This window comes from Homo sapiens, chromosome 11 (genome assembly GCF_000001405.40).
Source record: "Homo sapiens chromosome 11, GRCh38.p14 Primary Assembly".
NCBI classification, from domain to species: domain Eukaryota; kingdom Metazoa; phylum Chordata; class Mammalia; order Primates; family Hominidae; genus Homo; species Homo sapiens.
The window spans coordinates 121,023,704-121,039,831 of NC_000011.10; the positions used below are offsets into that span (position 1 = coordinate 121,023,704).

Sequence of the window (16,128 nt, forward strand, 5' to 3'; positions counted from 1 at the left end):
TAGTATAGTTCCCTCATTTTATGGTTGAGGACACTGAAGCCAGAGATAGGAAGAGACTTGGTCAAGGTCACACAGCAAATCAGTAACAGAGCCAGGCCAAGATTCCAAGTGTTTCTGGAAAGGTTCAGCCCAATGCTCTTTTCTGCAGCCCCTATTGTCCTCTGATATGACAATGTGTACTCCTGTTCTGCCCCTGGGGATTGTCCACTCAATGGGTGGGCACGAGAAAGAGCAGATGAGGTGTTTGTGGTAAAGCCTAAGCCAGTGCAGCCATCCCCGTCGCCATGGCAACCCCAGCGCGGTTGGGGAGGACCCGCTCCTCCGGCGCCCCCTCCCATTCACGCAGCGGACGTGACACGTGCGGCGGGGTCACGTGTTGTTGTTGGGCCGGGAAAGCTGCTTCCGGGTCAATGCAGGACACTGGGCTCCGGCGGCCAGAGTGGGGGACTAGGTGAAGCGGCGCCGGGCCGGGGCTGGCCGGGACCAGGCCCGAGGCTGAGCGGCGGCGACAGCGGTGGCCGGGAGGGGGGAGGAGAGGCGCAGCCAGAGGAGCCGCCGCAGTAGCTCCCCCGCCTCCCGGGCTGAGGGGTGAGTGGAGCCGGGCCCGCTGGCTCTGCCGGGCTCTCGAGGCCCGAGGCGTTCCCCTCTGGAGCCGAGGCGCGGAGGGTCGCTCCTGCAGGGTGCTGGGATAGGACACTCGGGGAAGGGTGAAAGCCACATGGGGCCTGTCTCGAGCAGCTGTGGGGATGGGAGACCTGCCCTGGGGCTAGAGGGAGGATGGGGCCTGCCTGGCCTGGGCTATGGCGGAGCTGGGAGGGTCTTGGGCTGGGCTGGGCTGGGCTGGGCTGGGGGACTGGTCCCGGGTTGGAGGAGGGCGTGTTGGGGAGCCTGCCCGGGTTCCTGGGAGAATCTAGGCGTCTCACCTTGCCCCAGCGTGGGGGATGGGTAGATGCCTCCCAGCTGTTAGAAGAGGGAGACGTGTCTGGGACTGCTGGGGAAATAGGAAACTTGTCTCTGAACTACTGAATCCCAGAAAAGAGGACATGTCCCCAGGGAGGTTTGCTGGGGGAAGGACGGGCATGTCTAGGCCCTTGGGACATTAGGCCTGCTCTTACCAGGGGCTGATAAAAGGATGTGGATGTGGTAATTGAATAAGGGCTTTTGGGAGAAAAGATTTGCCCCAAGGTTGGGAGACTGAGAACGAGGGTGTTGGACTGACAGGCGGGTGCCTTGTCGTGGGATCTTGGGGGAAGTAAGGATCTGTGTGGAGCTTCTCTGTTGAGTTCTAGGTCCGCTAGTAGGAAGACATTCTGGGAATTGGTGAAGAGAGGAGATTTAATAGTCTTTTCTTGGGACACAGTGATTCCAGAAGTTGTAGTTGAGGAAAGTTGGTTGGAAGTGTTGAACTGTATACAGTCAGTGGAGAAAGGAGGAGCTCTACTGTGAAGGTTGCTAGGCTACAAAGAGCTTGTAGGCAACGCCTAGGGCTGTTGAGAGAAGTTGGTAATGCTTTCAAGTCCAAATACAGGCTGAGCTGGGGCTTGTCCCTTGTTCATGTCATGCTGCTGTGGAGCTCTTACGTTTCCAGTAGTCTATCTTGAGCAAAGAGTATGAATAGGTGCTGAGGACTAAGGAAAACATTCACTCTTTGGGTCCTGAGATGCATTAGACCCAGATCTCTAGGGTGGTAGCTTTCAAACTTAAAAAAAAAAAAATTATGCCCCACAGTAATAAGTATGTCTTACATTCAGATCTAGTACATACGTAGGTATGAAGGGAAACTTTCACAAAGCAGTATTTACCCTTATTATATGTGATATGTTCTGCTAATTTCTATTATATTCCACCCTCTTGCATTAAAAAAAATGCTGGCTGACATTTACTAAATTGATGATTTGTGGGTCACAACTTGCAGTTTGAAAAACACTGTTTCTGAAGCACATTTATTTGGTGTCAATCAGTGTCCTCATTCTGTAAGCTTCTAAAGAGCAGGGATGATTCTAAGGAGATGGATTTTTTTTTTTTTTATTTTATTTTGGCCGGGGGAGAGGGAGGAGGGCAGCTAGGTGCAATTGATTGCTTCGGTTTAGATGTTTATACCACGTAGCATATTTGACCTGTGTTTTCTGAAGGACCATAATCTTGATCTTTAATATCTTGATGTTGCCTGATCATTTGATTGATGAAATTTTTTGTATGCGTGTGTGTTTTAGTTTCCTTTATCCTTTGCTGTGTCTGAGAAATATGAGAGGCCTAGTTCCACTTAGTTGCTTTATCACAACATAGTTAAAGAAATTTTATTTTACTGTTCCAATGTTGTGAAGATACACTGATTTTCTTTTCTGCTATTTAAAAACATCCCAAATTCTTCTTACTGCAGTAATTATTATGATATACTTTTTGCTACATGATGAAAAATATATGAAAAATACACGATAAAATATATACCAAAGCCATAGACATATTTAAAAGCCTTACAGTCTACGGCTTTGGTATATAAACTTAATCATAAACCTAAGTATAACTTTCAATCAGTTAACATCTTAATTCCCCTTACAAAAATTTTAGGTGGGGTCCTTAGAAAAATAGTATTAATTCATAATAAACATTAATGACTGTTGGTGAACAAAGTGAGAGTCCTTCATGTAATGTTAAATGTTGTAATGTTAAAGTCCTTTGAAAAGTTGTTACATAGCCTATTGCTGCAGGACATTGAGTGTCAAAGGATGTTGTCTAATTTCAGTAGGTACACAGGGTATGTATTTAAGACCAGTTTAATAGCGTTTCTTTTTTTGAGGATGAGTTCGTATTATTTGTAACATAGAATTCAAAGACACGGTCATCAGGACAGAAGTACCCAAGTTAAAACTTCATCAGTGGGGCCACATTCTTGATCAAATGCTTTACGAAAACATTCTATCATCTTTGAACTTTGTGTGTTATAAATCTTTCTTGCCTTTAATTATTTATTAGGTACTGATAGAGGCGTTATGCTGGCATATATCAGCCATCCTTTAAAAATGACCTCTTAATCAGGGAAATATTTGTTTTAAAATATTTAGCTTTAATGAATGTTTAAAGAAGATTTTGTTTTGTAGGTGCCTGGAACATTAAGGAAGATTCTTATTTATTTCATTTTTCTGGGAATCATATGTACTTGTCAATAAACAGTTACGGAGAAGTGACCCTGAGTGATTGTGTGTGCTTTTTAATAGTTTTTGTTTCTTCTCTGATCCTTAGACTCTTAAGCCTGTCCACCTGTAGCAGGCTCTTTTCTCCTTCTAATTTTTGCCTCCAAACTACTATGGTTTTGAAAATCAGATATTTATATTTGTTATATAATACTTTTTTTTCCTTTTCTTAGTGTGTGAACTGTGTGACATGTATGTTGGCTACTTAGAGACCAGTTTACTTAGTCCTGGGCTGTGTTTTAAATAAGTGAACTCTTTATATATTTTGGGCCTGGTTAGCTGTATAAGAAGTAATGTGAAACTGATAGTGATACAATTTGGGCTTAAAGGGTGAAGGAATCCTTATTTGCGATTGTTGCCTTTCTCCTACACGTGATTAGTTATTGAGATTTACTATTCCTCCCTTTTTCATGCTACCCATTCTGACTTACTTCTTTGGAATTAGAATGGTAATAACTGGACTGTTCCCATTGTCTTTTGCTTGCATAGCTTCATGAGAGAACTCTTCCAAAGGATATTGCTATGATTATTTCATTTCCCTCCTCAAAAACCATTAGCTGCTTTCCAGTACAGGCACTGAATAAAGCCCATGGTGTTTAGCTTGATATTTAGGGCCTTCTACAGACTTCCTCTACTTTTTTTCTGGCATCATCATTACACTCCTAAATGCAGTTCCTCTACCTGCCAAGGCCTCTGCTCATGTACCTTCCTTTGTGTGTAAAATTATCCCTGAAAGTCTGCATATAAAATGTTCCCTTTCTTCATGAAATCCTACTCACTCTCATTTCATTTCAGATGACCCCTCTTCTTTGAAGTCTTTGTTGCTTATGTTGTCTGTACTGCCTTTGCTATATTGCTTTGTATTATTTGTGCACCTTATTTTTATCCCTTTTAGATTATAAATGCGTGGTGAACAGGAGGCTCAAATATCCATGAAAAACTAGGACATCTAGCACAGGGTCTACCAGGGCGTAGTTCATAGACCAAGTAGATCAGAATTGACTGAACGTATGGTTAAAAATGCAGATCCGGCAAGGCATTGTGGCTCACACCTGTAATCCCAGCACTTTGGGAGGCCGAGGTAGGAGGATCGCTTGAATCCAGGAGTCAAAGCCAACCTGGGCAACGTAGGGAGACCCATCTCTATGAAAAATTAAAAAATTAGCCAGGCATAGTGGTATATGCCTGTAGTCCCAGCTACTTGAGAGGCTGAGGCCAGAGGATCACGAGCCTCAGAGGTTGAGGCTTCAGTGAGCTATGATTACACCATTGCACTCCAGCCTGGGCAAGAAGAGTGAGGCACTGTTTAAAAAAATAAATAAATAAATAAAATAAAATAAAATAAAGCAGATCCCTGAATTCTGACCTAGACTTACTGAATCAGAATCTCTGGTGGAATCTAGGAATCTGCATTTTATCAAGCTGTCTGGATGATTCTTCCATACAGTAAAAGTTAAAAGTCACTGACCTAGCCTGATGCTTTAAATTACAGTAGGTACTCAAATAACTTTTCAGCAAGTGATGTTAATGAACTGAGCAATATCATAATTCAGCAAACTGGTTTAATTTTAGGGCCTTGAAGTCAGCCTAGATTTGAGTCCTGGCTCTGTCACTAGCTCTGGGCCCGTAACCTCTCTGCTTCAGTTTTCTGATCTGCAAAATGGGATAATAGTACCCCTTATAAAAGTGTTGTGATAACTAAGTGAGATAATACATATAAAACAACACAGTACACAACACATAATAAACTTACAATAGATTTTATCTGCTGTCATGATGATGCCTAGCACAACAGTGGTCACCGCAGTAATAATAAAACATCATGAAGAGAGGTTCCAGATCAGTCATTGTTAACAAACAAATTGCTCATATGGTTTTAAGAACTAAGGCTTAAAATATTTTCTATTTTACATTAACAGATTGTGGCCCTATGTGGTGTTTAAAGTCATAAAGGTGTTTCCGCCTTCTTTAGAAGAATTGGTATCAAATTAGCATGTTAGGATTTTTCCCCTTCATCTCCCCACTGATGGAAGAATAAAGTGCAAACTTTTGAATGGTGGACCTTAGCCCCTTACCATCTGGCCCTACCAATTCTTTATTTTCTAGCCGTCTTCCCACATATACTCTATACTCTACACCAACTACACTACATTTCTCACTTTATTTTGCATTTCTCACTCATTTGTGTTTGTGCAGATGCTTTCCCCTTCTTTTCATCTAGTACATTTCTGCTGCTGTCTTGTAAAACTCAGTTTTACATGTGACTGACCTCCTTAGTGAAGACAGTCACTCCCTCAGTGTTCTCAAAGTCCTTTGTCCATGCTTCTTATATATTACCTTTGTGTACATTTGTCTTTTTGGAGGGAAAAACGATTTAATCCTGGCATGTATTCCCACCTCTGCCAAAAGGGGAGGATGTTTGTTTATTTGACTCATATCAGCTCCTCCATTTGTCTGGACGTCTCAGCTTTCACAATAATAACTAGTTTATTGACCACTTACTTCATGCCAGGTACTTAACTAGATGCTTCAAAAACTTTATTTCATGTAGTCTTCACAATAACTGTGAAATGGCTATTAATAGCTTCATTTTACAAGTGAGGAAGCAGGCATAGAGATAGGTAAGTAACTTGTTCAAATTACACAGTAGTCATAAGTGAACTCAGAACTAACTGAAGACCATGCTTTTAATCACAGTGCTCTTCTAAAAATGAAATTTAAACAGGTAGCCCATTTCCCAAATTCAGGATCTTAAAACTGTGTGAAACTTTGATTAATCACTAATCATTCTTAGGAATGTGATCCATAACAAGTACTATTGTGAAAAGTTATTTAAAACTGTTCTTGGAATAATGCGTTTCCGGTGATTTTCAAAATTTTTCTTCTCATTCTGCCATTGGTGAGCTTCATTTTCATTTCACTGTCAGAAGGTGTTGCTTCATGTCTATTGATAATGAAATTCACTTTTCCATTTATCCAATGAATATTTTTTAATCATATGCCAGGCACTGCTCTGCACAAAACTGAACTGGACTGACAAATCCCTGCTTGTGTGGGACCTATCTTCTGCTGGAGAACAAACACTGAACTAACGGATTATGATAAGTGCTATAAAGAATGACAGAGGGTGAAGTGACTATGAGTGATGGTGGCAGTAGTGCTATTTTTGATGGGGTGGTCAGAAGCAGCCTCTTTGAGAGGGTGACATTTGTGTTTAAATTTGAGACTTAAACACTGAGATGAAGCAGCTCTGCCAAGAGACAGGAAAAGGGCAATCCTGCAAATGCAAAGGCTGTAGGGGGAAATCAGCTTGGCAAGTCTGAGAAATAGAAAACCACGGAGGCTGAGTAGTGGGCCAGGAAAGGAGTGGGAGGAAATGAGGTTAGAGATGTAAGCAGTGATCAGATTAAATGAATCCTTGGCGACCATGATGAAGAGATTGGATTTTATTCTGCATGTGAAGGGGAGCCATTGGAGAGTGTAAAGGACATGATTTGACTTAAATTTTGAAAAGATCACTTGGCTGCTTTGTGGAGAATGATTTGTATAAGAGTCAAGAGGGACCAGGGCGGAGGCTAATGCAGAGGTCCTGGTGAGAAGTTGATGATGGCTTGAACAAGAATAAAGTAATAGAGATGGACAAAATTGGGCAAAATTGGGATATTTTGGATGTGGTATTGATAGGTCTTGCTGATTAGTTACACAGGGGTATGAGAAGAAGAGAAAAGTCAAATATAACTTCCAAGATGGGAATGAGTGGAAGAGGAGCAGATTTGGAGAGGGAATTCAGAGTTCTGTTTTTGCCTTCCTGATCATACTATCCACTAAGGATACCACTATTCTGAATTTTGTGTTTTTTTCTCTGCCTTTTCTTTACAGTTTTTGCCATATATGTACGCAACCTTAAATGATAAGATGGCTAATTTCCATGTTTTAAAATTTTGTATAAATGGAATTATACTGTATATATTCTTGTGATTTTTTTTTTTTTTTACCCATTCAGCATTGTTTTATTTTTCTGCCCTGTGTGAACAAATCAACACTGTTTTTCAAAAGCCATTCATGTTGATGAGGAAGTAGGCATAATGAACTACCAATTGTTAATTTCCATTGCTGTGTAACATTTTATTTTATGAATATATTGTAATTTACCCAATTGCCTGTTCTTAGATATAAGGGCTTCTCCACACTGCATTCCCCCCCACCGCAATCCTCCCAGGATTTTTGCAGTTTTAAGCAATGCTGTTGTTACGGACATTCTTTTACTTATTTCCTGGTGCACACTACAAGTTCCTGTAGAGTTTATACTGAGAAGTGGAATTGCTAGATCATAGAGTATGTGCGTCTTCAACTTTACTAGACAGTAATAAATTATTTTCCAAGGTGTTTGTACCAGTTGATACTCCCACTGGCTACATTGCCAGTTTCTGTTCTTCTGCATTTTCTCCAACACTTGGTATTGTCAGAGTTTTTAAGTTTTGCTGATTTGCATAAAATGGTATCTCATTGAGATTTTAATTTTTGTCTCTGAAAATTATTGAACGTGAGCATCTTTTACATATGTTAAACATTTTAATTTTATCTTTTAGTAAGTACTTGTTTATGTCTTTTGTCCATTTTCCTATTAGGTTGTCTTCCTCCTTCTTACTGTTTTTAAGAGTTCTCTGTATTAGTTACACGTGTTGCAAGTATCTTTTTTCCAGTTTTTGGCTTGTCTTTTCATGTTTTTAATGTCTTTTGATGATTGAAAGTATTTCTTTTTTCTTTCTTTTTTTTTTTTTTTTTTTTTGAGACGGGGTCTTGCTCTGTTGCCAGGCTCGAGTGCAGTGGTATGATCTCTGCTCACTGCAACCTTCACCTCCTGGGCCCAAGTGATCCTCCCACCTCAACCTCCCAAGTATCTGGGACTACAGGCACATGCCACCATGCCCGACTGATTTTTTTGTGGAGATGGGGTCTTGCTATGTTGCCCAGGCTGGTCCTGAACTCCTGGGCTCAAGCGATCCTTCTGCCTTGGCCTCCCAAAGTCCTGGAATTACAGATGTAAGCCACCATGACTGGCCAAGTTTTCATTTGGCTGCTTAACTTTATTTTTATGGATTTTAAAAATGTTTTCTTTATGAAATATTTCCCTAAATCAAGATCATAAAGTTCTTTTCCTATTAGAAGAAATAACTTATTTTTTTCTCAAGGAGATAAAGTTTGCTTTCATATTTTATGTGGAGGTGAATTTTTTGGTAAGGATTCAATTTCATCTTTTCCCAGATTGTTATTCACTGTCCTAGCACCAATTATTGAATAGCTTAATGTTTTTCTAGTGATCTCTGTGCTGCTTCCCTGCCATATTTACATGGGCATGTTTCTGGGCTCTGTTCTCTGTTTCATTGGTCTATTTTTCTTCCCCAGGGTTGTTTAACAGAATACAGTTGATTCTTGTTATTTACAGTACTTTTATGTGAAGTTGCCATGAACAGTGAATTAATGAATATGGAAATTGTTACTCCTAGGGGAAATATAGGATTAGGTTCCTGCGAGCCTCTGATCATAACATTTTTGTCAAGTGATAAATAGATAATTTTGTTTTATATTAGTTTCTGTTTAAAGACATTTAATATGTATCATTGATTCGTTAACATTGAATTAACTGCAAACAGCCCTAAATTCATACCTGAATAAAGTGATCTAATTGTGCATTTTCTCCATAAGGCATATTGCAGCTTCCTCGTGCTTCATGCTTTAGAAACACTAGATGGCATTTCAACACTACCCTTGGGGACCACTTAAATAGTGAAGTCACCAACAAAAAGCACAAAAATATGAAAAGCATGGCACTAGATAGATCATGGAAAGGACACTTGTTTATATTTTGAGAGCTGAAACAAGAAGGCGTAGTGCCACCTTGTTCTACCTCAGCAGGGAACATACCCGTTGAACAACTCAAATTTTTTGTCACTTTGTGCTTATCTGCAAATGACCACAAAAATGCTGCAAGTATTGATTTTGTTGTAACAAGTACCTTTTGGCAAGTAGGGAAATTTGTAGATAGGGAATTTGTGAAGAATGAGACTCAACCTATGAAATACTGGGAGAGAGGTAGTTTTTTAGGAAACTTAGCATTAGCACTTTCCCCTCTCTGTCATATTTACACATATCTTTATAGCATTTTATTTTAAGAGAATAATGCTATGAATCTTTGTAATACTAAGTCTTCTGATAGATGCCATTATGTCAATAAAAAGACTTTTGGGAATACCTTTATTATATTTATAATCATGTTATTCATAGGTAAATTGAAGGAAATAATTTTAGGAAAGAATTGCAACTCTTAAAATGTTGAAAACAAGTCTAAACTATTAAAACTTTTATTATATGAGAATTGTGAGGATCATATTTTCTCATAGGCATTAATAACAAGGCATAAGTTTTGTAAAGGCAAATGCCCTTTGGAGGTTGAAATTTAAATATTGGCTCTATTAGTCCCTCATTAGTGATGATTTTCCTCATGAACATTGATAAAGGATTCCAAGAAAAAGATAAATGAAGATTGTATACATCGTAAATTAGATCTCCCACTAAATGTATTTATTGAGACTTGCCTGTTTTATCCCTCCTGATTTAAGATCCTCAAGTGAATTATTTGCATTAATTTGATAAGTGCTGAGAGTAGGAATCAGAAATGGTAGACCTCACCTATATTCATCTTTTTTATATAGCATACACTATATTCCTGTATTTTTCAAAAATGTTTATTTTGTAGTAAAATGTACGTAACATAAAATTTATCATTTTAACCGTTTTGTAGTTTAGTGGCATTAAGTACATTCACATTATTATGCAACCATCACCATCAATCAGCTTCAGAATTTCTTCTTTTTCCAAACTGAAGCTTTGTACCTATTAATTAATAACTCTCCACTCCCCGTGCCCTCTGGCTCCTGACAATCACCATTCTACAGTGTCAATGAACTTACCACTCTAGTTACCCCATGTAAGTGGAATCATACACGATTTGTTCTAGCTTATTTCATTTAGCATCATGTCTTCAAGGTTTATATATGTTGTAGCATGTGTCAAATTTTTTTTTAAGGCTGATAGTATTTTATGTATCTGTCACATTCTGTTTATCCATTTATCTACCTTTTGACTATTGTAAATAATACTACTGTGAACATTGGTGTACAAATAAGTTTTGACTCCTGCTTTTGATTCTTGGGTAGATACCCAGAAGGGGAATTGCTGGGTCATATAGTAATTCTGTGCTTAAGTTTTTGAGGAACAATCATATTTTCCACACCAGTTGTACCATTTGCATTCCTACCAGCAGTGCACATATATTAATATTGAGTTACTGAGCAGCACCTATTGTTCTGAAGTATGTTATAAATTATTAACTCTTGCATATGTGTTGTAAGGTACAGTAGGAGTACAAAAATCATATATTCAGTATGAAATCTTTTGTGGTTGTGTTTTTTGCTGAATAACTTGTAGTGGCAAATATTTCTGACTGTGACATGATGGCACCTCTTTTGGAATCTCCGTGGAGTAGATACAATTATGTATTCTAGCCGTAGCTATGAAGAATTTTTGTTTCTAAAGTACTTTGATTTCAGAGTTTATTAGTCAATCTATTTTTCATATTACAGAAAATATATTTGGTATGCACAATCAGAAGTGATTAGAAAACCTACTGATTAGCACATTTATGGGGTGTCAATTATATGCAAGTTTCCAGTATATGCTAGATACAAACAAGCATTAGGATATGGTTATTACTCTCAAGAGCTATACAGTTTGAAGTCACAAGACAAACAAATGAAAGTTACATTGCAACACATGAAAAATAAGGGTATATTATTTAAAATGAAAAGATGACATGCCAGTATGTGATTAATCGCCCACTGAGTATTTCAGGCTGGATTAACATGAACTTAGCTCAAAGGAAACATCGCTATAGGGAGAGGTATCTGAAAACGCTTCATCTCTAAAGTATATATTGAGTAGTGTGTTGAAGGATGCATAAAATTCAGATAGGTGGAGAGGTAAGGGCAAGCTCTTCCAATTAAGGAGGAATAGCATAAGTGTCAGACATTTTTACTGTGCCAAATCATTAATTGGCATTAATTTAGCATAGTCCTTGGACCTAAAAATTAGCTTATTTAACAAAAATTGCAAGTTAGTCCTCCAGCTCTACATTCCGTTCACGCTGCCATGTTCACTAAGTGATGATGGTAGTAGTAATAGGGGAAGCAGGAGAAGTAATAGTAAACTAATATTTATTAAGTGCTTTCTATGTGCCAGGCACTGTGCTAACCACCCTTTACCAATATTATCTCCATTCATTCTTCAGTAACCCTATGAGCTAGGAGTTACAGGCTACTACCCCTTCCTGTGAGTGAAGAGGGGTAGACTTAGAGAACTTAAGTAACTTGCCCACAGTTACACAGAGTAGTGGAATCAGTCAGGATTTACATACCCAGGGCGTTTAGTTTTAGAACCAGTACTTACTACCATTGGGCAGTATTGCCATAGCACTAAATGTAGGAGGAGCTAGTGAAAAAAAAAACAAAAACAAACGTGGATTTTTTTTTTTTTAATGACCTGCAGACTTTTGCAACCTTTATGCGTGATTGATGTTTCAACATTCTGGCAATCCCTGGTTATTAGCCAGGGTGGTTTGTAAACTGCTCTGGAAGGCTGTAGAGTGATGAACTAGTGGTCTGTTCCTAATGAGGCTTTTCCTTAACATGATGGCTTCTGTAGCTGCTCAAGAGCACAGATAATGGGGGTAATCTGTTCTGTAAACAGCTAAGTAATGACCTTAAACTTGTGTGTTCACAGCGGAAAGAAAACATGCATATATGATTTTCTTCTGATGAAACCTAATGTATTCAAGAAAAAGAATCTTGCTTTTTGGAAGGATGGAAAAATTGGGAATAATTTTTTCCCCTTTGATAATTAGACCACTCAGTACTGTTGCTTAGTTTTTTGGTTCAGTTACTTTGATGTGGTTACAAGAGGAATTTTGGCTGTAATGGATTTCATACATTTTTGTAAGTTATGTTTCCATGTCTCGTGTGTGATGTTGTGTACTGTTGACATGAAATACTCCTTTTTTGGTAAAGATGGATTGGCTTAACAGATTAGAGCTACAGAAAGTATGACTTAGCACGCTGGTAAGGCCACAAAAACCCAAGCAAGTTCCCCCAGTTTCGTATCCTGTAAATAGAGATAAGTTAGTTTTTCTGTTTCAGAGAGTGGTTATGGAAAACTACTAGGCTTTAAAATGATTGTTAATCTCAGTGTGGGGACATTTGGTTTGGGGACATCAGTTCAGGAGTAAATGTATCTGATCCTGCTTTGAATAAATGCAACTTGAAAGCCTTGGAATTTTACCAGATCGAATCTGGGCCAAATAGAAAGGTAGGAGTAGATGTAAATTTGTTTGTAAAGGAGTTGGGGATGTGTGTGGTGGGGCAGAGTGAGGGTGGAGGGATGGGCAGGGTGGAAGTCTCCTTGGAAGCCCTTGGAGTAAAAGTCAGTGAATGTTAAACCTTTTTGGTTGTTTTTGTTGCTGAAAGTATATGCAAAGTGTTTTTGTCTTATATTTCAGAATGTCTAATTTAATAGGGATATAGACAGTTGGTTTAAACCAACATTTTTGGACGAGGAGAGGCTATGGAAATGAAGAAAGAAGTGTTTAGAAATATCACACAAACAGGTACTTCAGTCTAAATAGTAGTATTGTCTTAATTTTTTTCCCCTCATATTTCTCATCAAAATTATGACATTCTGGGGCTAGTGTATTTGGATCAGAAATTTCAAGGGCTGTGTTTATGTATGGTGGACTACAAGCATGAGAGTCAGTCATAGTTGCTAATGTGCAGTTATTGATGAAAAAAGTGTGTGTCTTTGTTCAACATCTAAAGTGCCTTATATGCAACGTAGTTCTTTAGTAGAAAATATAGACAGCTCTGAGGCTGTACTTCTCACTGATAACATAGTCACAGTTTTAGATATATTTGCCACTAATACAATGAAATAAAGAATTTTTGATAGGTATTTTAATGTTTGTAGTGCTTTTAAGGAGAAGCATAGTACTGTGATAGAAGAAGAGGGTGGTAATGGCTGATTGATAGCATAATTAAAGGAATGATCAGGAGTCCAAATTCACATTTCATCTGGCAGTGTTGGATTTTTAAAAAACCTCCTACCAAGAAAGGTTGATGTGCCACATTACTACACTTGGGTATAGTGTAGTATACAGTTGAGCAGTAGACTTTGAGACATAGGGTGGTTCTTAGTAGGGTGTGAAATCGTGGTGGCATGGTGTGTTATGATAAGGGATTTATCAGCTACACTTATTTTGCTTTTAGAATGCTAAGAGTTAAGTTAGTGAATTGGCTAACTATAATTCTACAAAATAGTGCTAAAAGTTTATTAGAATTAGTTTATTTTCCTTTTCATCCAAAGAGAGCATCCACTTAGCTATATTACATAATGCTCAAGGGTAATAACTGAGATAGACTCACAGGTATAGATACTTCAGGATAAATGAAATTGGAAGTGCCATACAGAATGAGACCATCCAGCCTAATTACGCTGACTTGGTCAATGTCCCAGAAGTGTTTATATGGGAGAGATAGCTGTCATTCATGACTTTAGCTCCAAAAACTTACTAATGGAATACTTTATAAACCTTAAAAATGATTAGGTAGATATGCACTTCTTGACATGGAAAATTTTTCATGGACTATTTAGCAAAAAGGCAGGTTATAAAACTATATATCTAATCTTTGTGTAAAAAATATATATCTACATAGCATGGAAAAAATGATCTAGAAGGATACACACCATGAGGTGCATCCTCAGGCTTCATGTGCTTGTGAAATCTAAACCAAAGTCTCCTGGTGTGGATGTGGCTCTGTGCTTCAGATATGAAAAGCTTTTGATAATACTTATTTACATTATTAGCTTAGCTAATAAAAAGGGAAACTACATGGTGGGGTTACTGGTTTTGTTGTTGTTGTTTATTTATTTTCAATTGGAAATTGTAAAAAATGCAGAATGAATTTTTTTTTTTTTTTAGACGGAGTCTTGCTCTGTCACCCAGGCTGGAGTGCAGTGGCACGATCTCGACTCACTGCACCCTCTGCCTCCCGGGTTCAAGCGATTCTCTTGCCTCAGCCTCCCAAGTAGCTGGGACTACAGGCACGTGCCACCATACCCGGCTAATTTTTGTAGTTTTAGTAGAGACAGAAACCATTTCGCCATGTTGACCAGGCTGGTCTCGAACTCCTGATCCCAGGTGATCCACCTGCCTCAGCCTCCCAAAGTTCTTGGATTACAGGCGTGAACCACTGCTCCTGGCCGAACATTATATTTTTTAAAAGCAAATATTTAGAATAAAGCTCGTTAGTAGACCTTTATTCGTTGATTTATTTCATCTTTCCTGGAGGGAAAAATATGTAACATATACATATGCTTTTCCAGAATAAATCAGTCTTTTTGGGGATACTCTTAGGCTGCAGATCAGAAAGACTGCTTTAGAAAACAAAACAAAAATTCCAGCTACTTAAAATGTATAAGAATCTGGCAAAGTTTGGATACAGTGGATAGTTGTTCAAAAGAAGAAAGCTTTTTGGAGATGAGGTTAGAAGAAGAGTTCACAAAGTGAAAATTTAATGGGCTTAAAAAAAAAACAAAAACAAAACTTGCAAAACTTGAGAAAGGTAGCAGTCCTGAGAGGTTCTTTGAAGATAGCTGGGAGATTTTCCTCCTATGGCTTTGTTTTCTTAGTTTTTGCTGACCTCCCCCGACCCCCTGCAAATTCAGGCAATACATTTCTCTTTTGTCTTTTTTCAGAAAAAAAGAACAACTCTTTCTTAATCCTAGTTTTTTTTCCACCAACTGTCCCACCTCGTCCACTTTCATTTAAGCCTCTCAAAGGTATGATTGCTACTCTTTTCTCGGCTTATTTACTTAACTCCCTATTCTATGGATTCTGTTCCCTTAACTGTACTGGAAGTGCTTCTCCTAAGGTAAACAAACTCTTAGTTGCCCAGTCCTTTACTGATTTTTAAATTCTCATTTTTGACCTCTCTCTATTCTGCATAAAGATCAATAACCCTCATCCTTGCACTCTAGTCACTGTAATCTCTCAGAATTTTTCTTAGTTTTATCTTTGCAGGATAAAGTCTAGACCAAGAAAGTCATGACCTTACTGACCGCTGTCACCTCCACAGTTGAATCTCCTGCTTTCCCCCTCGTCAGCACACATATTTTATGTTTTAGCAGTACAGCTGATAACACTTGTTTCTAGTCTCTTGTGTTTGTTCATGTGCTGTTGTTTCCTGTACCTGGAATGCCATTCCCCACCCTGTCAGCTAATCTTTATCTTTCAAAATGGCTCAGGATTCACCTACTTCCTTGATCACACTTCTGAAAGTTAATCACTTCTTATGTTGAATTCACTATTTCTTGTCTGGCTTATTTTAGATATGTGTTATCTCATGTATTTCCTTCTAGAGTGTGGATGCCCTGAGGGCAGAGTTTGGATTTTATTCCTTCTCACTTTCTTTAGTGCTTAGCATAGTGTTTGGCGTAGATTTAGCATCTGGTACACGCTTGTTGAACTGAACTAAATGAAACTAAGCTCTATGAAGGCACATATTTTAAAAATAAATGAATGGGGGAAATAAACCTAATTGGGAGAATTTGTTAAGGTATGAAAATGAAACGAGATGGCAGAGAAAACAATGTATTTGTTGTCTGCATTTTTACTAAACAATTGGTAAGGAAATTCTCATTCTCAGGTTGTCTTGTGAAGAAAACAATTACCCAAGTGGATAGCAAATCACTAGAATGAAATGTCATCTGACCCAAGGAACCTAAAGGTGAAATTGTGGAGCCTTTGACAAATTGTTTACCTGAAGTTTTG

The 16,128-nt window shown here is 38.5% G+C and overlaps 2 protein-coding genes across 4 annotated transcripts in view, besides 2 other annotated features; both read left to right on the plus strand.

Annotated features, from left to right (window-relative positions):
* Positions 213-362: a silencer, noted in NCBI's record as "silent region_3998". NCBI's record gives its function as "represses an Ori minimal core promoter by ATAC-STARR-seq in GM12878 lymphoblastoid cells {active_cell/tissue: GM12878}" and the evidence as "EXISTENCE:reporter gene assay evidence [ECO:0000049][PMID:35858748]".
* Positions 383-652: a silencer, noted in NCBI's record as "silent region_3999". NCBI's record gives its function as "represses an Ori minimal core promoter by ATAC-STARR-seq in GM12878 lymphoblastoid cells {active_cell/tissue: GM12878}" and the evidence as "EXISTENCE:reporter gene assay evidence [ECO:0000049][PMID:35858748]".
* Positions 399-16,128, plus strand: part of TBCEL-TECTA (TBCEL-TECTA readthrough) — a 167,389-nt gene continuing 151,659 nt past the window's right edge. Inside the window, exon 1 of the mRNA NM_001378761.1 lies at positions 399-588. The gene's annotated coding sequence lies outside the window, so the exon portion shown is untranslated. The remainder of the gene's footprint in view (positions 589-16,128) is intronic.
* Positions 399-16,128, plus strand: part of TBCEL (tubulin folding cofactor E like) — a 66,675-nt gene continuing 50,945 nt past the window's right edge. The window contains exons 1-2 of one of the 3 annotated variants that reach the window (NM_001363644.2): positions 399-588; positions 12,802-12,909. The gene's annotated coding sequence lies outside the window, so the exon portion shown is untranslated. The remainder of the gene's footprint in view (positions 589-12,801; positions 12,910-16,128) is intronic. The other 2 variants (NM_152715.5, NM_001130047.3) reach the window with 2 other exon arrangements.